The 26695-nt window shown below is 35.9% G+C and overlaps 1 protein-coding gene across 2 annotated transcripts in view; it reads right to left on the bottom strand.

Annotated features, from left to right (window-relative positions):
• The window catches only part of LAMA2 (laminin subunit alpha 2), a 633429-nt gene that overhangs the window by 304748 nt on the left and 301986 nt on the right, over window positions 1–26695 (bottom strand). For both annotated transcript variants that reach the window (NM_000426.4, NM_001079823.2), the window contains exons 11-12: window positions 21474–21614; window positions 18966–19139 (exon numbers count right to left, since the gene is read on the bottom strand). In NM_000426.4, coding sequence (NP_000417.3) covers window positions 18966–19139; window positions 21474–21614 — 315 coding nt within the window. The remainder of the gene's footprint in view (window positions 1–18965; window positions 19140–21473; window positions 21615–26695) is intronic.

The following is a 26695-nucleotide window of genomic DNA, read 5'->3' as shown; positions in this document are numbered from 1 at the left end:
AGAGGGATATTTCTGCCTGCTGGGTGGTAGGTGCTTTCATGGGAATTGTGCAGAGAAGGCCTAACTCAGCCAGAGCTGGGGGATAGGGTGATTAGAAACATTTCCTATAGAATTCAATGCTTAAATGCTTTTTGAATGATGACTAGAAGGTAATTACTCAGGAAAATGGTAGAAAGAAATCCCGTACTGAAGGGACATTGTGAGAAGAAAAGCATGAGAGAGCATTGAACACTTACCACGGGCATTTTAATTACTGGACCACGGGTCCCTTCTGAGCTGCAAGGGAGTTATAAGTCCAGAATGGTCTCTGAGCTTTCATTGAAAGACACTGAAATTTTAAGCAGAGGACTAAGGTAATCAAATTTGAGTTTTATAAAGATTCTTCTCCACCAGGTATGTGAATAACATTTCAGAGGAGGGAGGTTGGAGGTAGAAAAAGAGTTAGATGGTTTTTTCCTGTAATATAGGTAAGAAATTACGTAGCTTGAACACTGGCTGTTCAGTGTCTTGAATCATTCTAGTTGCTTTGCTCTGACACATGCCACATTTTCTGTGGCTGGGTTTGTGTATCATCAGTGCATCTAGATATGGACAATAGCTCAGCTGAGTGCAATTATTTTCTTTTCAATTGTTGTCATGGAGTCACTTTACCATATTTTGTAGGGTTATTTATTATTAGTAGTCAACTGAGTGTAAGATTATATTTGGCATTATATTCATAAAATTTTAAATCTGCAGGAGACCTTCTAATTCACCTGATCTGTTTGTATCATGTTTTCCCAAAAGGTAGTTTTCTTATGGGGAAACCACAGATGAGGCCGTGGGGACATAATGTAGGTAGAGCTCCTAACTCTGCCATGTGCTATAACCAGAAACCAGGCCTACTGGCCACTGTAACAAGCACCAGCCCTACCTTCTGCTTGAACTAAAATGAACTCTGTCGACCACTGTAGCCAGCATCTGTTCTGTTGCCCACCGTAACCGGCATCTGTCTCATACTGTAACCAGGACTGGCCATGTCACCCATTTGAATCCTTTATTTTGTTTGTTTTTGGGTGTTCTAATTAGGATTTTGTTTGAAAAACAGGTTCTGTTGCTAAAAAATTATAACCTCTTCCCAACAGGCCCTGTGAAGTTAAGGGTCTTACCTGTGTTTATAACTGGCTAGTGGGTAGCAGAGCTCAAACAGCGAAACTGTTAACACATATTCAGAAAGAGCTAGAAACTCTTCTAGAATCTGAAGCTATCTTCAATCCTCACGCAATATTCTGGTTCTGCCAAGTCTCCTTTCTCTCCCATTCCAAATTAATGGCAGTACATGTTAGACTTCCTGTTTCTTTAAAAATAGCTGCTTTCTAAGATTCATTTTATTCCAATGTAAATGTGTGGTTGGTGTGGTGTGTGTGTGTGTGTGTGCGTGCACATGCGTGGTTCGGTTTCTAATGAGATTGATAAATAAATTTGTATTTACATAGTCTTTGGTGGTGGCTAACGAGGTTATTTTAGGGTTCCCTTGTACAGGATAGACTATTGGATAAGAAAGTCAATCCCTGAATTCAGACTAAAAGCATACTGCAGGTTTTTTTGTTTGTTTGTTTTTTTAAAGCCTTGGAAAGTCAAAGTCTAGGGAACTATCTGCAGATAATTAATCATCAGTAATTTAAAAAAGTAGTCATAAAAGAGTGCCCCCCAAATTCTTATGGGTAAATAATCACTTGGGGAGCTGATTAAAAACGTAGATTTCCCCAGATCTTCTGGATAAGTGAATCCAGAGTAAGGGTCAATAGTAAAAATTTTTTTTTTTTTTTTTTTTTTGAGATGGAGTCTCGCTCTGTCGCCCGGGCTGGAGTGCAGTGGCGCGATCACGGCTCACTGCAAGCTCCACCTCCCGGCTTCACGTCATTCTCCTGCCTCAGCCTCCCGAGTAGCTGGGATTACAGGTGCCCGCTACCCTGCCTGGCTAATTTTTATGTATATTTAGTAGAGATGGGATTTCATCGTGTTAGCCAGGATGGTCTCGATCTCCTGACCTCGTTATCCGCCCGCCTCAGCCTCCCAAAGTGCTGGGATTACAGGCGTGAGCCACCGCGCCCGGCCAATAATAAACATTTTAAATAAAGACTCCAGATGACTGATGCAAAAAAGCCTGAGCACCGCACTTGAGAGACTTTCATAGCAATAACTAGATTTTTAAAGGAGTTAATTTAACAGTTTTGCTGAACCCCTTAACCTGGCTTATCTCCTTTAAATAAACATACTGTACTATATAAATCAGGGATGCAGAGTCAAACCTCATCCTTGCTGAGTTTTATGGGATCAAGCTGTCACGAGTTTCATTCCCTGCATAGTTAACATTTTCTTTAGCCTAAATATCTTTCACCATGCATGAAGCTCATGAGCTTTGTACAACAGAAATTATTTCTTGTGTTAAGCCCTTATTCTATCCATCACCCTCCAAATCTCTGCTAGATTGTGAGACACATTAAATTGCTCTATCATTTTCTAGGTAAAGTTTCAAAAGAGTTTCGGATCAAGAGCAGACTTAAGATTAGATATTAACATATTTACATTTCATCCCTGTACTTGTCTTGAACAAAAAAAGCAAAATAAAGCATTTTTGCTTTTATATAAAACCATCACATCTTAATTTAAAATTATGTGATATAAGAACACCACCTCCCTACTCACTCTTTTTTTTCCTGCAGTATGAGTAAAAACGAGCTTAAGGCAGTAAATGGCCTAGGGGAACTTCAATGGCTTGCAAAGCTTTTTGTCTGTGGGTTATTTCCAGTTCCATTTCATTATAAATGACTTATTTCCAGAACACTGAGGCTGATGATCACTTCAAACCCAGTCCCAGATGAAAACTGGAAAGAAAAGCCATTTACTGTCCTACCAGATCATCTCTAAGACAGGTCCTGACAGTCAGTTACTTTGTATATCAAAATACCCTAAAAATTAGACAGATATGAGCAAATTCTTCCTATTCTTTTTCCTTTCCTGCTGCATTTATTTCTTTATTCTTTCCATTGTTTTCCTTTCCTTGCCCTCCCTGCTTCCTCTTCCTTCCTTCCTCCCTCCCTCCTTCCTTCCCTCCCTCCCTCCCTTTTCCTTCCTTCCTTCCTTTTTCTTTCTTTCCTTCTCTTTCTCTTTCTTTCTCCCTCTCTTCCTTCCTTCTTTCTTTCTTCTTTCTTTCTTTCTTCCATTCTTTCTCCCTCTCTTCTTTCCTTCCTCCTTTCTTTCTCTTTCTTTCTCTTTCTTTCTTTCTCTTCCTTTTCTTTCTCTCTTTCTTTCTTTTTCTCTTTCTGCCTCTCTCTATCTCTCTCTTTTCTTCTTTCTTCCTCTCTCTCTTTCTGTCTGTTTATGTGTGAGGGGAGTCTTTCTAAAATTTCAACAAAATAATGCCTGACCTCAAATTAAGCCCAGTTGGAGTTAATAATAATAGCTAATACCAAATGCTTATCATTTTCAGACACCATCTTGAGTACTGCATATGTGTTAACTCATTTAACCCTCAAAATAACACTATAAAGTAGGTATTCATATTATTTTCATTTTATACATTAAGAAACAGTGTCACAGAAGATTAAGTAAATATATTGTCTGTAAGAACTAAAGCAAACACAATTTCTTCTAACGCTAACACAATTTCCTTTCCTGTGCTAAATAATGCTGGGAGTAAGAAAAATGTCCACCCCCTATTTTAAGAATGCTGTGAGCAATCTCCAAGAAAACCTTGTCTGCTCTGTGATCCATCTAAGCTAACTTCCTTATAGACTCATAACATGTTCTTCAATGTTTGTTCACTCTGGTGACAAATCCAAAACTATTATATAATAAACCCTGCAGAATCCCAACCAGTTCCCTCTCACTCAAGATTTGCCTTGAAATCAACCAGCCTTTTCCCTAAAGCCTGTAAATATCTTCCCCTGACCCTCACCTTCTGAGACATTACTAAGAATATCAAGGTGATGTTCTTGTTTACTGTAATAACTTCGTGAACTTTCTTGACCAACAGGTTTTTTTTTTTCTCAGGGGTATTTTTGGGAAGTTGGCAGCTAACAGGTGTCTAATACTTATTAGGAACTGGAAGATTGTATTTCATTATAAAAATAACCCTTTTGCTCCTAATTCTTCTAAAACAAAATGTATCAATATAGCAGCACATGGAACTTACCAAATTTCAGTAACTACTTAAAGAATTTTCAAATATTTTGAAAAATTAAAAGGAAACAAAACTATTTACACTTGTATGATTCTTACACTATTGATCTCTACAAAACTTCTCTACAAAGAAAAAAGAATCTCTAAGGGGCTCCTCCAACCCACATCAAATATAAAATGTGAAATGTAATAGGATGAAATTAATTTTTTAAAAACATACTTGTTTTGATATTACAAGCATCTTTACTATAAAACAATATTTTTATTCTGAAATTTTACTTAACCAGGAGTTGAGTTATTACTCACAAGAATGAGAAATTAAAACATTGTAAACAATAAACAAAAAGTGAAGAAAAAAAAAAGACCTTCAAAATCCAGTTATTTCAGAATGCTACAGCCAGGGAGGGGTTCTCTTCCTAATGAAGGAAACGTCATATGGTAACTATTTCAGATACGAATACACAATGCAAAAGAAGGGCCCGTTTCTTTGGAAATAGCTGTAAATATATTCATCTGAGTAAAACAATCATCTGTGTCTAGTCATGCATGCTCTCTGCTCCTGTGGCTGTCACTGCTGTCGATCTGAAGTTGAGAGGCAATGGCCTCATGATTCAAGGCAACTGCTGAAGTGTGTACTCAGGCTTCAGTTTGAGAGATGGGTTCATTTATCATCATAATAAGCTATTACCATTGATAGGTCACAACTCATTGAAGAGACAGTCAGTCTAATTGGCTCAATTCCGTCAGCTTTCGATGTGCCTCAAGGAGATAAGCACTCTTTCACAGGTAATTTTCAATCACCCAACAAACTACCTGTTTAATAATTCATCACATTTCAGTTGGAGGCCCTATCACATAGCCCCTTTTTCAGTGTGCCAAATGTTGGATTTTAACTGCCTGCAATCTCAGACACAGCTAATATAGAGGGAGAGCTTTAGAAAAAGTAAGGAAAGAGAGCAACTGCTTTGACTCAGTGGCTACTGTTGGAAGTGATGAGAAGACATCAGGAATAAAAAATGTAAGCTTTATGTTTCCTCAACATGCCCTGCTGAAAATAAGAATTTCTTGAAGATACTTGAAAAGATAAGAGTGCTATTCAAATCCTTGTGATCAATTAAACATGCCAAACAATTTTTAGCAGATAGGATTGGGGCATTTAATGCTTATTAAGTGATCATATTAAAGCAATAATTTTTACAACAGCTTAGAATAGAAAAGCAATAGTTTGTAATAGATTAAATCAGCAATAAAAATCAAGTCTATTCCAGTTAAAATATCTTTTACAAATTTGACAATATCTGTTCTTGAGTGGGGCACTAGAACAGAGCTTTTGAGACAAACTCACCTTGATGCAAATGCTAGATGTGACTCTAAATAGCTAAGTCACCTTATAATTACAAGGACATATTCGTTTCTCCACTTTAAAAGACAAATAGTAGTCATACATATAGATTAGATAGATAAACTACTTTGTTCCTAGGTTTAATTTCCTTCCTTCCTTCCTTCCTTCCTTCCTTCCTTCCTTCCTTCCTTCCTTCCTTCCTTCCTCCCTCCCTCCCTCCCTTCCTTCCTCCTTTCCTTTCCTTTCCCTTCCCTTCCCTTCCTTTTTTTCTTTTCCTTTCTTTTTTTTTTGAGATGGAGTCTCAGTCTGTCACCCAGGCTGGAGTGCAGTGGCACAATTTCAGCTCACTGCAATCTCCGCCTCCGGAGTTCAGGTGATTCTCATGCCTCAGCCTCCCTGGTAGTGGGGACTACATGCACACACCACCACACCCGCTAATTTTTGTATTTTTAGTAGAGTGGGGTTTCACCATGTTGGCCAGGCTGGTCTTGAACTCCTGGTCTCCAGTGATCTGCCTGTCTCAACCACCAAAAGTGTTGGGATTACAGGCGTGAGCCAGTGCACCTGGCCTCCTAAGTTTAATTTATTTAAAATACACCTTGGATCATTCCATATTATTATACAAAAATCTTCCTTCCTTTTTTAATAATTTTATAGTGTTTGATGGCACGAGTGTACCAAAACTCATTTAATCAGTCTCTCAGTGATTGGCAGCTTTGTGGTGACAATTACAAACATTTCTGGAATGAATCACTTTGCATATATGTCATTTCACACACGTGTGTGTGTGTGTGTGTGTGTGTGTGTGTGTGTGTGTGTATATATATATATATACTTACAGAATAAATTCCCAGAAGAGAAGTATGTAAGACTGTGCATTTATAACTTTGGATTTTTTTTTCTTTTTTCTTTTTTTTTTGAGATGGAATCCCTTGCTCTGTCACCCAGGCTGGAGTGTAGTGGCATGATCTCTGCTCACTGCAACCTCTGCCTCCTGGATTCAAGCGATTCTCCTGCCTCAGCCTCTCAAGTAGCTGGGACTACAGGCGTGTGCCACTAGGTCCAGCTAATTTTTTGTATTTTTTTTAGTAGAGACGGGGTTTCACCATGTTAACCAGGATGGTCTCCATCTCCTGACGTCGTGATCCATCTGCCTCAGCCTCCCAAAGTGCTGGGATTACAGGCATGAGCCACCCTGCCCAGCTATAACTTTGGATTTTTTTTTTGGATTGCATCAATGTATATTCACACTACCAATTTAGGAGGACCTTTGTTCCTGAAGAAGCCACAGGAATGGCATGTGTTATTCATTTGGTTGACTTTCCTATATGTTAGAAGACAATGATTTCTCAGTGTAGTTAGCATACTATGAGTCGGGTTGAGTACCGTTTCATACATTTAAGAGCCATTTAAATTTCCTTCTCTATAAACTGCTCATTCATTTCTGTTGGACTGCTGGCCTTTCTGTTATCAATTTCTTTAACTTCTTTATACATTAGAGAGAGTCACCTTTTATTTGTTTTATATATATATAACAAGAATGAAAATTATGAGATTTTAAAAATAATTGATGTTTTATGATTTGTATTGGTTTGCTAGGGCTGCCATAATAAAATACCATAGACTGGGTGGCTTATACAACAGAAATGTATTGTTTCACAGTTCTAGAGGCTACAAGTCTGAAATCAAGGTATCGGCAGGGTTAGTTCCCTTTGAGGGCTAAGAGGAATCTGTTCCAGGCCTCTCTCCTTTGCTTGTGAATGGCCATCATCATGTTCACATGGTGTTTACCCTGTCGGTGTGTTTATCTCCAAATTGTCCTTTTTTTTTTTTTTCATAAGGATACCAGTCATATTGCGTTAGCGCCCACCTTAAGGATATTATTTTAACTTGCCACATTGTAGCCACAGAATACTGACTAGTTATAACATTTACTTCTCTAATTAGTTACTGATGGGCACAAACCTCAAATCCCTTTCACTGCCAGGTTGTCAGTGAAGCAGAGATAGATATTTGTCATGTAATTTTCTTGGGAAGACATGAAGCGATGCATGTTAGCTCTAATTTGGCACCTTCAAAATAAAGTCTAAAACACTCTGCGGGTATTTCACAAATCTGGTTAACTGATTTATTTATGTTTTGCACTTTGCTGCAAAGCTGCCATTAAAGGCATATAATCTACGTACTTGCTAAAATTAACTCTCTCTGATTGTCAATTTTTATTTTTAATGATGTCTTATCCTTACTACCACCAGATACTATGTCAGACAGGTGACAAAGTGTTTTTTAACAAACGTCTTTTACTGATATAAGGAAGATCTCCAAAATAAATTACTGCAGCATACAACTACAGAAATTCATAAAGCAATTGGCATTTATCGGACAGCTTCTGTGTGCTAAGGACATTTTCGAGAGCTTTGTACAATTCTGAGGGGTGCTAGAAGCCTCATTTTGCAGATAATGAGAATCTGGCTCAACTAGATTAAGGGATATGTCCAAGATCACAAAGCTAATAAAGCAGAGATCCAGCATTTGAATCAGGTCTGTGAAACGCATAAAGACCAAAACACTAATCAAAGGTAACCACAAAAATGAGAGAATCAGGTCATCCGCTTATATGAGTAATAGCTTTCACCCAATTCTCATGGAAATCAAGGAGGAAAAAAAGTCATGTATTATTTTGCTATGTGAGATCAAGCTGTCAGCAGGATTGGTTCTTTATGAACACTACAAGGAATTAAGCTGTTGCAGCCCTCTCTCCTTAGCTTGTAGATGGCTGTCTTCTCCTTGTGTCTTCACACTGTCTGTGACCTATTTTCTTCTCCCACTACCAACAACACTCAACAACAGTAAACAAAATGCCAGGTTTAGAATTGACATAATACTGCCTCACTCAACCACAAGGGGTGGGTCTGATCTATTGCAAGTGGCAGGGGCCAGCATGTTGGGGGTTGCCCCATATGCACGTAGGCTAGTGTGTCAGAACCAACAATCCACTGGATACAGATAGTTCCCCACTGAGCCGCACATAGAACATGAGTGTAAGAAGTTACTGAAAAGCTACAGAAAACAACGTGAAGTTTTACATTGAGAGTTTATTGAAACACTTTCAAATTGGTGCTGGTTTTCTTTCTTTAAGTTTGAAATGAGAAATGAGAGCTGGAGAAGCAAGCCTTTTTTATACTCTTCTTACAACCCAGTCTTTCTTTTTAAAACTTCAGAGGGAAAATTTTATACAGGAAGTATTTGAAGTTCTACTTTAAGTTTGTGTATTTAGGTAACCATTCCTTAACCATGGTGTTAGGCCCTACAGCTGAAAACATGACTGGCTAGAGGTCTTGTGACAGCTAGCACTAGTGACAAAGCATTGCTATTCACCTGTTTGATACACTTAATTTCTATTTGTAGGAGTAAATTTCCATCTGGTAACATTTTTCTTTTGCCTGAAGAACTTTCTACATTTCTTCTTGTGTACATCAGTCTGTGACACATTCTTTCAACTTCTATTTCTCTGAAACAATCTTTGTTTTTTCTTCAGTTTTGGAAGACATTTTTGCCTGGTAAAGAATTATAGACTGATAGTATTTGTTTTGTTCATTTGATTGCTTGCGTTGTTTTTTCCTAATACTTTAACATATCTCTGTATTGTATTCTGGCTTGCAAAGTGTACTGATGCATTCAGGCTGCTACAACAAAATAACAGGGACTAGGTAGTTTTTAAGCATTAAAAATATACTGCTCACAGTGCTGGAGACTAGGAAATCCAAGATCCAGGCATCAGCAGATTTGATGTGTGGTGAGGGCTTGCTCTCTGCTTCCAAGGTGGTACCTCCTTGCTGCCCCTTCACGTAAAGGAAAGGGCAAGGCAGCATCCTCAACCTCTTTTGTAAGGATGTTAATCCCATTCATGGAGATTAGAGCCCTCATGACTTAATCACTCCCCCAAAAGCCCCACCTCTAAATACTATCACATTAGGCATTAGGTTCCAGCATATAAGTTTTAGGGGGACACCAACATTTGGACCATAGCATATAGGGTCTGACAAGAAACTATTCTTCCTTATCTTTGTTCCTCTGCACCTGTTGTGTTTTCTTTTCTTTTCTTTTTTTTTTTTTTTTTTTTTTGAGACAGACTCTCGCTCTGTTGCTTAGGCTGGAGTGCAGTGGTATGATCTCGGCTCACTGAAACCATCGCCTCCCAGGTTCAAGTGATTCTCCTGCCTCAGCCTCCTGAGCAGCTGGGACTACAGGTGTGCACCACCATGCCCAGCTAATTTTTGTATTTTTAGTAGAGATGGGGTTTCACCATATTGGCCAGGCTGGTCTTGAACTCCTGACCTCGTGATCCACCTGCCTTGGCCTCCCAAAGTGCTGGGATTACAGGCATGAGCCACCGCGCCTGGCCATGTTAGTTTTTTTCTGATTGCTTTTACAATTTTCCAGTTATCTGTCTTTTTAATAATTTGATTCTGATATATCTTGACATGATTTTCTTGCCATTTGGGGTTCTGTTTCCATTGATTGATTTTCCTCCTGGTAGTGGCTTATATGCTCTGCTTGTTTATGTACCTGGTAGTTTTTGATTTGATGCCAAACATCATGAATTTTACATTGTTGAGTGCTGGATTTTGTTGTAATTAAATAGTATTGGACTTTGTTCTGGCATGCAGTTAATTTATTTGGAATAAGTTGACTTCTTTTAAGGCTGTTTTCAAGATTTGTTGGGGTGAACCTAGAGTAGCTTGTAGTTTGGAGCTAATTTAGTCCCTCTTATGAAGACATTCCACTTTGGGTGTTAGGAAAATAAACTATTAGCAGCCCTGTATCAGCTCAGGAATTGTTTCTCTTACTACTTTTTAGTGATTCTTTCATTAGCCTTAGGTAGTTTTCTTTCACATATTTGCAACTCAGTACTCCGGTTTCTCTTTGCAGATAGCTGCAGCTCTCTCCTCGTCTCTCTCTCTGTGCAGGTCAGGTTCCTCTTCCCTTGTATGCTGCCTCACAAATGCTAGCTGCCTTGGCCTCCATGAACCCTAACCTCTGTCTTTCAATTTGGCAAGGCCAGGCTGTGTTTGGCTTTTTTCTCAATATACCAATGCACTTCACCCTGGAGACTGTCCCCAGGCAATAATCTTGGGGCAATTGTAAACCTCACCCCATTTGTTTCTCTTTTTCAGAGATCACAGTTTTATGCTATCTGTGGAAGAGTGTCTAAAAACTGTTGTTCCACATTTTTTCCCCCTCAGGCTTTGTTGTTGTTTAAGGTAGATAAGGAAATCTAGATACTATTATTCAATTATGGTCAGGAGCAGAAATCTCAATGTGTTGTCTTTATAAAGGTTTGTCTTTAGCATAATTTTTGAAAATTTATGATTTGTTTCAAGGGGAGTTTATTTTTATGTATAATGTGGAGTAAGGATGCAGAAATTTTATTTTTTTTCTCTAGATAATCAGTGGTACCAGACCATTTACTGTATAGGGTCTATCCCATTGTCATTGATCTGCAATGCCTATTTCAATAAAAGTTAAGTATTCATCTATGTATGTGATATCTATGGGCTATTTTTTCAGGTCTATTGGTTTATTTTCACACTGATAGCATTTTGCCTTAGTCATTATATCTTTTAAAGTAAGTCCTAACTCTTTATATCAGATAAGATTTTCATAAGGGCATTAATTCCATTCATGGAGATTAGAACCCTCATGACCTAATCCCTTTCCAAAAAGCCCCACTTCTTTCCTTTAGAATTTCTAAATATATATATATACACACACTCACATATATACATATATGCATATACACACACATATATATGTGTACATACACATATATATACATGTATATGTGTACATGTATATATATACATATATGTATATGTGTACACATATACACGTATATGTATATGTGTACATGTATATACACATGTATATGTGTACACATACACGTGTATATGTATATGTGTACACATATACGTGTATATGTATATGTGTACACGTATATATATACACACATGTATATGTGTACACGTATATATATACACATGTATATGTGTACACGTATATATATACACATGTATATGTGTACACGTATATATATACACATGTATATGTGTACATGTATATATACACATGTATATGTGTACACGTATATATATATACACGTGTATATGTGTACACGTATATATATACACATATATATACGTGTACACATATACACGTGTATATATATATTTTTGGAGAGGGTCTCGCTCTATGCCCCAGGCTGGAGTGCAGTGACCCAATCTTGGCTCACTGCAGCCTCTGCCTCCTGGGTCCAAGCAATTCTCTTGCATCAGCCTCCCGAGTAGCTGGGATTGCAGGCGTTTGTCACCACACCTGGCTAATTTTTGTATTTTTAGTAGAGACAGGGTTTTGCCATGTTGGCCAGGGTGGTCTCGAACTTCTGACCTCAGGTGATCCACCTACCTTGGCCTCCCAAAGTGCTGGGATTACATATGTGAGCCATCGCACCCCATCTATAATTTCTTTTGATTATTCTTGGCCATTGGCTTTTCCCTACAAATTTAATCCTTGGTACTATTTATATGTATTGCTATTATACATGGCCTCTTAAAAATTTTTTTTGAAAAGTGTTGTTGATATAAAGAAACATGATTGACTTTTGTATATTAATTTTGCATATAGTCTCCTTATTGACTCACTGATTAAGAATTTGTCTGTAGATTCTCTTGATTTTACAAGCAGATAAGTATATCATCTATAAGTGAGTTTTATTTCTTCCTTTCTGATCCCTATATATTTTATTTCCTATCTACTGCACTGTCCACATCTTCTAGCACAATGTTAAGTGGGAGTCGTTATAGTGAGAATTGTTTCATGTTTGTGATCTTAAACAATACTTTGAACATTTTATATTAAATAAGATATTTGCTATTGATTTTTATGTAGATAGCCTTCATCAGTTAAAGTGCTTTTCCAATTCTAGTTTTCAAAATTTTTCAGACATGAAGAATGTTTAATTTTACCCATTTCTTTTTCTGTGTCTATTGAGATAATTGATTTTTTTCTCTTTTAATCAGTCAATATGGTCAATTACTTAAACTGGTTTTCTAATTTTAAAGTAACCTCAAACACGGATGATAAAATCCACTTGGCCAATTTAGCCTGACTATTTTTATAAACTGATGGATTTGGGTTGTTAATATTTTATTTAGGATATTTTCATCTACGTTCATGAGTGACTTTGGGTAGGGGTTTTCTTCTTCATAGTCCTCTTGTCAAGATTTTATATCAAGCCACATAAAATTATGTGAGGAGTACGTCCCAGTTGTTCTATTCTCTGGAAAGTTTGTATAATTTTGCATTTTTAAAAATTTTTGAATTTTGATTGATATTACTTGCAAATCAATAGGCTTGGAGTTAACTTCATTGGAAGGTTTATTTGACTGCTGATTCAATTACTTTAATGTTTATCTGACATTATAGATTTTTTTTCTTTGAGTCAGTTTTTTTAAGTTGCATTTTCCTAGAAGGATATTCCTTTTTCTAAATTGTATTCTTATTGTGTGTAAATTTTCATAATACTCTTAATTTGTTTATTTTCTGATACTTCCTTATTTGTTTATTTTTGAAGTAATTGCAGTTATGCCCATTTTTACATTTCTAAAATTGTTTATTTGTGTTTTACCCACGTTTTGCTTGATTAATCTTGCCAGAGCTTTGAAACCATTTAAAAAACTTGTTGGATTTGTGTCCCCTCTATTGACATTTGTTATTCATCTCATTCATTTGTATTTTTATAAATTCATATCTTTGTCGTTCCCTTTCTTTTGAATAAGCTGCTTCAGCATCTCTATTCCAAAGATCAATGCCTTGCAAGAACTAATAAACTTAACTGATTGAAAAAATGCTTAACTGGAATGGGCTATAGACACATCTGGATTGTAATCCTGGCTCTATTTCTTCCTAATTTGGATTTCTTGGTTTATTAGCTGATGACTTGGGTCATGTATATTAACAAAGATAAAAAGAGAAATTCACAAGTAAGCTAAATATTAATAATATTTAATAATATTTAATAATAATATTAGGTGACATGCGTTTTGTGCAGAATCTGTATAAACACTACCTCCTTTGTCCTGACCAGTAAATTCCTGCCAATGTAGCCCTAGATTACGTAAGTTTTGTTGCCAACCACATCACAAACCAACTCACATTGAAATTACTGTTAAGTAAGCTATTTTATTTTTCTCAAGAGTTTTTATTAAATGGAACATTCTCCTATCTAGTATTCATTCAGTTGACGAATTATAAACAAAATGTAAAACACTGTAGACAGATGCATGTGAATATTAAAATGCTTTTTATATAACAATTTTTAACATTAGAACTAATGCTTTATAAATTTAATTAGGAAAAACGTCAAGAGAATGTTATGACGGATATGTAAGACAGAGGTTTCTATGTTTGACCTTGAGCTCCTGCATTTGTGTTACTTTTACACAGCAGATTCTATCATAGCTATGGGAAATAAATGAGTCCTTGATTTTTTTTGTTTTTTAATACTTATTTTCTCATTTATCCTTAACAATTTGTAAACCAAAAAGTATCAGAAACAGGTCTCAATCAATTTAGAGGTTTATTTGGCAAGGTTAAGGACCATGGCCTGTGACACAGCCTTAGGAGGTCCTGAGAATATGTGCCAAAGATGACTGGGTTACAGCTTGGCGTTATATATTTTAGGGAGACGAAAGTTGCAGGCAAAGACATACACCAGTACTAAGTTACACATTGGTTCGGCCCAGAAAAGTAGGACATCTTGAAGCGAGGTGGGGGCTTCCAAGTCATTGATGGATTCAAAGATTTTCTGACTGGCAATTGGTCGAAAGAGTAAAATTCTGCCTGAACAGTTGAAGTCAGCTTGAGTTAAGAGAGTGGGTTGTGGAAGCCACGGTTCTTGTCATGTAGATGAAGCCTCAAGGTAGTAGGGTAAAGTAGCAGGCTGATGGTGAATGTCTCTTGCCAGACCTTAAAAGGTATCTGACTCTCCAGAAAAGACTTAGTAAGGGAAGGAGATTCTCTATAGAATGCAAATTTCCCCAAGAGACAGCTTTGCAAGGTCATTTCAGAATATGTCAAATAAATATATTTTGGTATAAAATACTTTGATTTCTTTTAGGGCCTGCTATCTGTTATGTTATGCTATACCAGAGTGAGGTTAGAATTTGGTATCTTGTTGCTGTAAAGTGTCTGTCTAGTCAGTTTTAAAATCTCTGTTTTAATGTTACTGTTGGTCTGTGGTGTCTAAACTCCAAAGGGAGCAGGGTATAATGAGGAATGTGTAATCGTCCCTTCCCATGATGTTCAGGTTTCTTTAGGTTTCTTTGGGATTCCCTTGGCCAAGAAGGGGGTCCGTTCAGTCAGGGGTCTTAGAATTTTATTTTTGGTTTACAAATTCATTCAGTTTATTCTAGGCAGCAAACCTTCTTCCTGGTTCTACTCCATTGCCAAGTTAGTCTTGATGGGATCTGATTTATGGAATAAAAAATCAACCACAGTTGATTTATCCTATTTACTTTTATAGCCATACCATTCTTCACTTGCATAATGATCTTCTTAACTAACCCATTTAATCCAAGATTTAAATAGGAGGAAGTTATGGATGGCGAGGAGGGGTTTGAACTCCACTTCTGAATAATTTTGAGGACTATGGAGCAAAGAAGTCACAAAATATGCTGCTCAAAGGAGAGTGGAACATATTTGTTAGCGAGTTTTTAATTATTTTGTAAAGCAAGACAGAATTCATCTTTCAACTCCCACAAATCCAACTCAATGGGCATTTCTGAGCAACCTAAAAAAAACAATTTCTTAGAGTTTTGTTTGTTTGTGTTAAGCATGTAGCATCAATTACAAGGTATTTGTTGAGCTTCTTTTATATGATGAGATCTACCCTGTCCTACAAATCTCAAATATCAGTTTCCTTCTTCAAATCTATAGCTTTAATTTGAGATCCGTGAAGTAGAATGGAAAGTCAAGCAAGAACAACAAAACAAAAGAGTTTACCAGAGATTACTTTTAGAAGCCAGATGCTATTATGTCAGCAGACTCTCCTAATGTGCATCTTAAACTAGACTATAGGTATTCTTGGCAACTATATGAACAAATTTAAAGGCTTCTCTAAGCTAGAAACAGAAAGATAGCATAATGCTGTAGAAAATAAGCAGGTTTTGGTAAAGAACAAATCACATAAGATTAATTTAATAATATTCAGAGAGAGAATTTCAAACCTTAATGGTAATGCAGGAACAGCAGACAAGCCAAGCTAGCTTCTCCCAGAACTTTACAGATGCAAAGAGAATTGCTTTTGGAAGCTGCCTCAACTATTTCAGACCACTAGGGCAACCTTAAGCAAATGACTGTTGCAATGTTCCAGTAGCACTTAGTTTACTAGGGCAGTAAATTATCCCAACTCTGAAATTCCCAAACTGTTTCTGAATAGCTGTAGCCTGCAGCAAACCAGCAGGATTCTTTGTCCTCTAGCTCTTTCCACTGCTGCCTAGTTGCTTAAACAAATGCCCTAAAACCAAGCATTAACATTTGCCAAGCATTTTGAAAATGAAATGCACCTAGGATAGCCCTGTGGGTGCCTGATTTAATTCTCTTTGACTATCAAGAACGAGGCGGGAAAATTAACACTTGATTCTGCCAGTTGTGCCAAATATTCACTGGTACATAGGGGAAAAAATTGGAGGAACAACTCCTAGCTGAGACTGTGGGAATTTCAAAAATAGAAAGTATAAAAACGTGCTAAGTTTTCCTAGGCCTCATCCATTATCCACACATACACTTATAATCACTTACTTATACTTCATTATTCCAAAACAGTAAAAATGTGAAAAATGTTTCACAGGATACAAAGCACTCCTTTGCTAAATTGGCTAGTATTCTTGAGTTTTATTACAACCAGGCAGACATCCATGTTAGCAAAAATGTGTCCCATGTGAGCCACTTTTATTATTTGGGATTAGGCTCCTAAAAAAAGAATAACAGCATGTGGCATCTCCATTATAAGAGAACATGCACAGCATATCGCCCTTCTGTTAGAAGAAGCCTTATAACCAAGCAACTTGGAAAATGTTTGAAAGTCTGTATATAAATATTTAGGAAAAGCTAATAGCATCTCATAATTTTTTCCAATTAGGAAATAACACTAAAAAAGCAGAGGAAGGATTATGTACCATAGACTCCTGGTCATGGATGTAAATAAAATTCAATATTTAAGCAGATGCACTTGTATCTTGATACGCTATTTCTGTCAGATTCTGGCAATGGTTCTGATTCGAACAGCAATTACTGGTAAAGAATTTAGCCTCAACTATTTAGAAAAGTGGCTTTATTGAATTTACCAACAAGGCCCTACAATTTTCCACTTCCTTAGCAAGATATTAAATCAACCAAGCTAAGCATGTCATCATGACTATAATTTACGTGATGTGACATGACAGTTAAGATGTACTGTGGTAATTTCTGAGAGCTTGCAGTATTATTGTAGTATCAAAAATTTACATGGTTCAGTTATTAAGGCAAATTGTTTCATTCATACTGAGATGCCTGACAGTAAACCACCAAGGGCTTCCACGTTACATTAAAAATGTCCTCCGTATTCAAACAATTTGCACACCCTGTTAATGTTATTTTGTTCACTGAATGGAAACGGCAGTACAGGCAAGAACAGTGTTTTGATGTGAAAATGATCGGTAGGGGAATATGAAGAGCTTCACTGTGGGTTATAAGAAAAATATTTCAGCCAGGATAAGGGAAGTTATCTTCGGGAACCAACAACTACTAATGGGATGTCCAAATTCTTTGTTCTGATTCTACCGAATATTCCATTTGCTTGCTTTCCTTCTGTCAGTTTGATTGTCAGCCAACAGAAAAAAAAATGCATATGACCAAAGAAGAAAGGATGGAAAATCTGGTAAAGAATATTTCTATTATAAGCTACTTTAATTAAGTGTTGCCATCATATAAGAAATAAGGCCTCTGAAATTCATCCAATTTTGACCTAAGGCTCTTCTTGGAGCTCTCAGTTGTTTTTTTTTTAAATTGACAGTATATTTTTATATTTTTTTGGCAATTTTAAGCAGTAGAAATTCAAGTCTTATGTGCTGTTTTGTTCTTTTGGGAATACCAGAGTTTCCTAAATAGAATAGGATAAAATGACTTCTTGCTGTAAAGGGCCTTGCAAATAAAAGTTTAATTCGATTTTTATTTTACAGCTATTGAATTTTATGCAACATACTCTGTCTCTTAAAATACATGTTCATTGAAAATGTCTTTTAGACATTTACACATTTTTTGTAATAGCATTCAGAGTTCTGTTAAATATAAGAAACTGGCCATAAGTTAAAAGTGTTTCAACCAGCCAACACCACCAGTTCCCATTCACTGAGTAGCATATGAGATACTAAGTTTTTCTATTTCAATACTCACATGTCATGCAAGAAAACCACTGACTATAAACATACTTTTATTTGCTTAATCAATTATGATTTCTTCATAAATAATGCTATATTTTGTTAGGTGTAAACTAGGCTTAAACAACATTAATTTAGGAAGGGATTTTCCCATCACACCTTCTGGTGTGATCAGGTATTTTAACTATCAGCTGAGAAGGTATTAACTTTCACAGAACAAGCAAGTATTCACGTTTATAAATAAGTCACCAAATTTTGTTTCCAACAAAGTATTAGGCAAGATAAAATAAAATTCTAAACCCCAGGATATCTATCTAGATAGAAGTAATCCACAACAGAAAAAAATAAGCCTGTATTTCTGAGGCTGCTACATTTGTTTATCTGTGTATGTTTTTACATATGTGTGGGCTTTAAAACAAACGTGCTTCCAATCTGGCACTTTTAGGGTAGTTTCTGCCTGAGCTCCAGCAAATATGTTGTTTACATAAGCCTCATGGCAAGCATTTAATTAGTTATGTAATACATTTCTTTTCCAATTAACATTCATATCAGGTAGAAGGAAAAGTAAATCTCCTGAGTATCAGTTTTGAAATGAAATAGAAACCGATGAGAAAAACTTTAGTAAGTATCCCACCACAGACAACTCCAGAAAACAGCTCTTTTCACATAAACACAACACAGTTTCTTCCAATACCTATAATTTGCTTTACGAAAATACACTAGCGGCTTCATTAATTTATTTGCCCATTCAAAAAGTTTACATAGAACATCAGCTATACAAAGTTGCATATTAAGGATGCCGTGGCTCTTTAAGGTCTTGTGCAACATGGAAGAAACGCCCAACTCAATGTGATTTAGCTGGTTCTGGCAATCCAATTCAGTGTGTATTTGATTTTGTCTTTCTTTAAAAGAATTACCAACTAAAACCCATTCTCACGATCAGTCAGTTAAAGCAGAATAGCGGGAAGCAAGCGTGGACTTACTTTGTTTCCCAGATAGGGAGCCGGCGCGCTCCAGTAGTAGCTGTGCGGCAGGGCTTGCCGGGCCTCCGCGTTACTGATGCTGATCTGCTGAGGTGAGTCCAAGTCGTCCTGCTGGGGAGCCACTCGAATGCGGCCAGGAAGGTCAGTCAGATACCAGCCACTCATATCTTGTATCTTAGAGAAAACACACAGTCATCATTAATTTTTAAAAAATATCTATCAGCTGCTTTTCTCTTTCATGTTCCTGGTCGTGTCCACTTTTGGAAATTAAAAACAAAAAAAACCAAACCACAAACATTTAGAAAAAAACCTGAGCATTATGAATATCATTAGACATATTATATGTACTCACATAGGCTTCCATTGTTTATTTTTTTTCCTTGATGTTTCTAGGAGTTTCCAAGGTATTCTATAATAATCTGTTTTCATTGAACCTATGCTTTTTAAAAAATTGTGGTTCCAAATACCACTTTCTTAAAAATAGAAATTCACTCAAAGTCATACAATGGTTATAACATACACTTAATCAAACAGTTGGACTTTCAGTTCCGTATTTTTTACTCCACTAGTAGTTTATTGTTGCTTTTGGAAAAAACAACCTGAAAAAGTATTGCGTATGTATTTGTAATGCAGAGGGAAAAAGAAAGAAACTATGCAAGTACCTGAAAGGTGGTGTTTCATTCAGTATTTCCACCCCTCCCACTTTTTAAAATTTCTACTTTGAGGCTTAAGGATATTTGAACCCACCAGCCTTGGTGCTATGACAACACCTGGCAATACTGTATGTATTCCTTCAGATAGGGTCAGAAGTGCTGTGGGGACCTACAGCCTAGATCCCTGGCCCAGAAATGGAAGGAACCTTAAAGGAGGAATCTGGGAATGCATAATGATTTGTTTTTACATCTTTATGCTTCAGCCAAGGTCAGGCCTACAGCTACACCTCTAATTTAAAGCATCCTACCTAGTCAGGACAAAACACTGATTACTGAGGGCTTAGGGTACCAGCTACCAGGAACCTACTAGACATGCATGAGCTGCTTCATGTTGTGGGTGATGGGAAGCAGAATGCTAAGGGTGACTCTATGTGGCTGAAATATTTTTTAAAATTTCTTCATAGACTATTTGACTCTGCTTATCCCAAAGCTGTGGAATCACTGCAATTCCCTTAGTTAAATGAGAAATAGAAACCAGGTACAACCTGTTGACTTTCTGGACAACAAGTAATATATTCCTTGCATTTCTTCCCTTTCTAACGTCACCCTTGAGGCATTGTAAGACAGTTGAATGGGATTCTGTGTCTCTAGCATCTGATGATCAAAGCTTGAGTACCAGCTCTGCCCCTTGGCTGGCTATGAAACTTTGATCTATCAGTGGGGCAGTCTGGAGGGTGGGGTGGGACTTTATAAACAAAAGAGGAAGTTAGACTAGATGTCCATCTGTGGTTGATTCTTTGAAGTCTGCTCTGAAAGCAATACAGTTGATAACGTATAGATAATATTTCATAATATGAGGCTTGACTTAAAAGCACTGCAGGCAGAGAAAATATTTTATAGCTCTGTTCAGGATTAGTTCACTGATTAAAGTTGAAAGGAAGAAGTGTTTAGGAAATAGTTTATCTAAATAGTAGTCTTTATAAAACACAACTCTGATAATGTCAGTCTTTAGCTTAAATTTCTTCAATGACACTCCAAGTAAAATATCTCAAATTCTTAGTATATTCAACCCTATAAGTTCTAGATTCTCATTCCCCCGTCTAGACTTCTTTCTCTCTCCAGCCCATTTCCTACCATTCTGCACTCTTAAGTCCAGCCACACAGGCTGTGTGAAATTCCCAGAAGGTCCCATTTTCCTCTGACACTTTTCTGTATAGGGAGACAACATGCTCTTTGCACAGATTTGAAAAGGCAGTGGGTAGTGTAGGCAGTGAAGTTAGAAAGGTAAACACATTTACGTTAAAGAAAGAAAATTTCAGTTGCTATTAAATAGTTTAAGTAATAATTTTTCAAACCAACTCAGAATGAAGGTATTGCCTATATTTAATGTCCCCTTTTAATAATGAAAGAGCCTAGGCAACATCAAATAGTAACTAAAGCGTTGGTGGATAATATGTATTATGTATACAGATGATACAGAGTTTTTCTCAACTTGCATACGAACATACTAGTAATGGAAAATATAATTCATATCACAATGTAGTGTTTTCTCTCTTAAATCATGCACCCTTGGAGTTGAAACCTTAATTGCATTATTGTTTCATAGAGTAATCATGGACACTAAAAAGACTATGTCTACCTATTCTAAGAAATTCCAGTCTACACAATATTACAAATACAACCTCAAAGGCTTTGAGCAAAAATACACAACAGCATTTGAAGAAAATTCCATTACTTCTTCCTGTAACTTTATGTAGAAGTTCACTATCAGAAACTGTTCATACAAAAGAACAACGATGAAAGCAACAAAGAAGGCTGCTGGGGCAGCAAACAGAACCAAATGGTGCTTGCTTACTTTGCCATAGGTCCAGTAGGAACTCTGACATCTGTTTGAAACCCCTGAACAGAAACACTCATCGCAGCCTTTCCAATTATCCTCTTGCAAATTGAAGAAGCCGGATTTGCAACGACTACAGTCTCCTCCTTCAACATTTTCCTGCAAATAAAGAGATGTATCAGCAACAGAGGTATCCTTCAACATTATGAGCTGCGTCCATGTCTGTATAAGGAAAATATTAACTGTACATTCTTCATTTTACCCTCTCAACTATATTTAACGTATAATGATATTTTTAAAAATCTGCTCAAAAGCTATGTGTTAAGCTGTATCCTTTCTAATTACACTGGTGAGAAAGATTATTGGATGGATGCAAATCTACTCTCGTAAAAGTGACTATGTTGATCTTCATGTAGGTTGAGTGTAGAGTAAATGTCATGATAAATACCTGTGCAGGAATGCATTAGATTGACTAAAATGGGGCCAGTTAGGTTCACTGTTCTGTTATTGAGCTACTTCATTTAAAGTTCACTGTTCTGTTATTGAGGTACTTCATTTAATTTCATGGTAAAATTAAAGACATTAATGCATGGATGTATAATAGAACATTGATATTACACCAGTTATAAATACTTTTCACATTTCAGATTAAAAATATGTACATTTGAGGCAAGCATAGGAATTTGACAGGTAGAGAAACTGGGGTAAAGATCAGATAAAGTAGAAAGCAAAGTTTTCCTCTGGTTAACTTTTTACAGTGTTTTCTGTAACACATCAGTACAATCAGTTAGTCACATAGTGATACTATGGGAAAGATCTATTCTCATTCTGTGACTGCTCTCCAGACTGGTTTCATTAATCCTACTCTCAGTATACTGAAAAATTATTTGTATATAGTTGAGCTTAAAATGTGGACTCAGGCCAGTGAAAGCTGACCATATAATGAAAAACAGGGAAGGATATAATCTCTCAATTTAAAGAGTGGTTAATCTTAACTAATAATTCTAAAGGAAGGCATCCTGCTTTCCAGGAAACAGATTTGTAATATTCCCTACATACGCATTTTCTCTACATTTCCCCTCTTCCTTGAATTCCCTTATTATCAATACTGAGGCTTTTTAAAAAATTCCCTTGGACAACTAACTTCTCTCTCCATGTAGTTTTCGTGGCCCTGTATACATTACCCTATCACAACCACAAAAAAGTATTGCTCAAAGATTGTTCTCTCTAGCTATCTACCATAATCTATTCAGAGGTAGAAATTCTGTCTTACTAACTTTATAGTCTGAGAAAATAACATGGTTCCTGGTACAGCACTGAGCATTAGCTTCATAAAATTTATTAAGTTCAAATAAATCTCTTGGCAGTCATGTTTTTCATGCATAGCAAAGTGCTATACGCATAGTACGAGCTGAATAAAAACACTTTAAACAAACCCAGATTGAGCAGAAGATAGGGATGATAAAATCTGAGAACATATAAGGAAAATCAGAAGAGAAGAGAAAAATAGCATGAAGAAGTAAGGAGAAAAATTTAAGAATAAACAAAGCAGTCCTCCTTATATCCAAGAGAATAATTTGTTTTAAATTAACTTTTTGATACTGAATTTCTATGACTCATTTACAAACTCAGCCACTTCTATGTGGGAACCTTAATAAGCACTGCCCCAAGATTTGTGCCAGCTTACTTTTTAAGGCAGATTTCAGACATTTTGAAATGATAGATATCAGCAAAACTAATCAAACTAATTTCAGACTTACAGTGACAAATAAATCCCCAAAGCACTGAAGTTGAGAGCATCTTCAAAAGAGTATAAAGGCAAGAAAGATGAAACATATCTGTAATTATGATTTAGTTTATCCCGTTGAGGACACAGTACAGCTGTTCTGTATACTGTGTTCTTATGCGCTTGGTCTAATCTACTTTTCATTTACTCTAATTTGAAAGCTTATAATGCCACTATTCTGAGATTCAGACTAAGTTCAACAATTAGAAATTTGCAGACATTAGCTACATTTTCCTTAGCTCCATTTTAGCCTAGTAAAATGACCTTGAAAAAATATGATTAAATAATTTCACATTCAATTTTATTTAATAACCTGAAGCAACACATTAGGGTAGGAATTCTAGGCACTATGAAGATAAATAAGTCAAGGTCTGTCTTTAAATAAGTCTGTCTTTAAAGGCCAATATCTAGTTGGGTAAAAAGATATACTCACAATCAACTATAATGCAAGGTGGAATATGGTAAGTGCATCTGAGAAATAAATAATTACGGGAACATAGAGGAAGCACTAATTTTTGCTATAAGGCTTAAGGAAGCTTTATGACAGGAGTGGAGTTTGACCTGATCCTTGAAGCATGGTTTAAAAATTCAACTTGTGGACATAGATAGAATGAGAGACCGATGTTAGCAAAGACATTGGGAACAAGAATTCATTTTAAAAGTTGGAGGTTTATTCATTATTTATTTTTCAAGACAAATGTGCAGGTTGAGCATCCCTAATCAGAAAATCCAAAATCTTAAATGTTTCAAAATTTGAAACTTTGGGGGCACCTATATGATGCTCAAATGGAATGTTCACTAGAGCATTTCAGATTTTGGATTTTCTGATTAGGAATGATCAGCCAGTATGTATTCTGCAAATATTCCAAAATCCGAAAAAATACCAAATCGGAAACATTTCTGGTCTCAAGCATTTTGGATAAGGGATACTCAGCCTGTATTTAATACTTCCTGTATGCTAGAACTTCACTTGGTACTTGAGATCCAGGGCCCTGCCCTCAGAAAGTCCATCCTAAGAGATATTCCTTAGGAATTGGTAAGTCATTAGCGGTTGTTCATTAGGAGATAAATCAACAGAACTATACTTGAGTAACTTAAGTTGACAGTAGCAGGTAAAATGTCTATAAAATGTGAGACATTGGCATAAAGAAATCTTTCTTTACTACATTATAGAGTATATTTTATATAATTTAGAGTAGCACAGTTCAAACACAGAAGTATAGTGTTCTGGGACTTTTGTGCACATTTTCATAGAGACCAAAATTTCCCGCCTTCTATTAGCTTGTTAATATATATGATCTTGACAGTCTAGTTCCAATTCTTTCTATGTGTCCCCAGGGACATCATTGTTTTTTCAAAATTTCTTTGTGACTCATCGACCATTGTCATCCATGAGTCAGCCCCTAATTGCATTCCTGGCTTATTCTTGGAAGATCCTCTTGACATGAATATTCTAGCACTTAAAGTTTTTTGATTCCCAGCTTGAAAGTGAAGCCATCTGCTTTATGGTTGAGCTCTTTGAATAATTTAACTTCCTCTGTTATCAATATCAAATTATTAATAAATGCTCTGCTCATTATTTCTTATCGTTGCTTTATTCTTTATATTATTCGTTCATCAACTCATAGCTGAACTACTATATACAAGACATATGAGATATCACAGGGAATATAAAAATGCCCTCAAGAGGATTATAGCAAAGGAAGTAGGAATTTTCTTTTTTGCTTTAGTTCCCTTAGCACAGTTTCTACTTGGAGAAATAGAGTCACGATAGTTTCCCTATGTACTTTCTGATGAGGCGGACTTCAGATAATTATATTACAAGGTGGAAGAAAATCACTGCTGTAAGAGGGGTACAGACAACATGTTCTGGATCTGACACCAAATTCATCACCAGTGTCCACTATGCCCCGAAGAAAAAAATAAGACAGAAAAACCAGGGAGTTGAGCAAAAAAGATGTATCCCAAGATTTTCATGACAAGATTAAAATAGGCTACTGTTGCAGTGTCCTCTTCCAGATGTGAGAATGTCTCCAGATGTAAAAATATCTACTAAAGGGCATTTATTGAAATAAATAAATAAATAAATACACACAGTAAAACCATAATTTTGTTCTTTTCTTGCCATCCATAAGATTGGCACAGACCATATATTATACCTTATTACCACCATCCAATTCAGTCCCTAAAGCATAGATGGGAATATAATTGAACCTAAATATCGAATGATGAAGGTAAAAGTTTTGTACCTTCCAGACTGAATGTTATTTTAATCATCATGAGATTTCTATTTTCCTTTATGATTCTATAATTTATTTGTACTGATGAATTTTAAAAAGTTATTAACATATAATTAATTTTTTTCTTTTTTTGTTTATCTATACTTCAATGGTTGCAAAAACATAATTTAATAAAAATTTTTAAAGTTGTTTTAACTGTTAATCTAAACAAAATGGAGTCTAATCTATTAAACCTCTCAGCATTCCTACTGGGAAGCTCCTATTGATCCAATAAATTCATTTTAACACTTTATTTGTATAGAGTCCATTAGTGATTCTTTTCAATTTGCGTATTTAATGATAATTTTCACACTACAGCCTATAAAACACGGTAATTTCTAGAACGCTACAGACTTCCACTCTAGAAATTAATATTCATTCCCTTATATCACCATATTTTCTTAAAACCAAATATTCTGCTTTTGCTATTTCTATACCATTATTCTAATCAATTACATTAATAAAATGAAATATGAACTATAATAGTCATTTTTCCATTGTAAATAATCCATACGTAAATACTTTTATATTCTCACATATTATGATATTAAAACACATCACTTCACTTTAGACTAGTGTTTTCAATCTACTTAATCTATTTTTTATCATCATGTCCCTATGGAGCCTATATAGTCATTTTTTCATAATCATCCCCACCATGAAACTTTAATACTCCAGATATATTTTATGTACAGATGCACCATGTGAATGTTTGCCTTTACATAAAATCAATATGATATTTTTGTTCCCAAAGAACCAATTTTCATTCTTTTAGGAAGAAATGTGTGCTTTAGACATCTATTTCCTTTGAACATAGCTCAATGTTGTGGCCTACGCTACAAAAAATCATGGCTGTCTTTTTTTTCTTTAGTTCTCTTTTCCCTTTAAAAACAAAGTTGAATTAGAAAAATTTTACTAAGTTCTTTTGTTTTTGATTTCTTGAAGTGAGATACTATTGTGTTGACATCAATTTTCTTTTTGCTATAGTTTCCTCAGTACAGTTTTTCTCTGGAGAAATAGTCACCGTAGTTTTCTTGTATTCTTTCTCATAGAAGCTACTGCTTTATAAACTAGGTACAACTTCAGCAGTACATATTGAACTGTGATTGTTAGTCAGCTGGGAGTACTACTGACAAAGTTACCAGGAATAGCTCCAGTGACATTTAAGTTATTTT

The sequence above is a fragment of the Homo sapiens genome, chromosome 6 (assembly GCF_000001405.40).
Source record: "Homo sapiens chromosome 6, GRCh38.p14 Primary Assembly".
Lineage (NCBI taxonomy): Eukaryota > Metazoa > Chordata > Mammalia > Primates > Hominidae > Homo > Homo sapiens.
The sequence above is the reverse complement of the archived record's forward strand: the minus strand, read 5'-3'. Positions and strand labels throughout refer to the sequence as shown.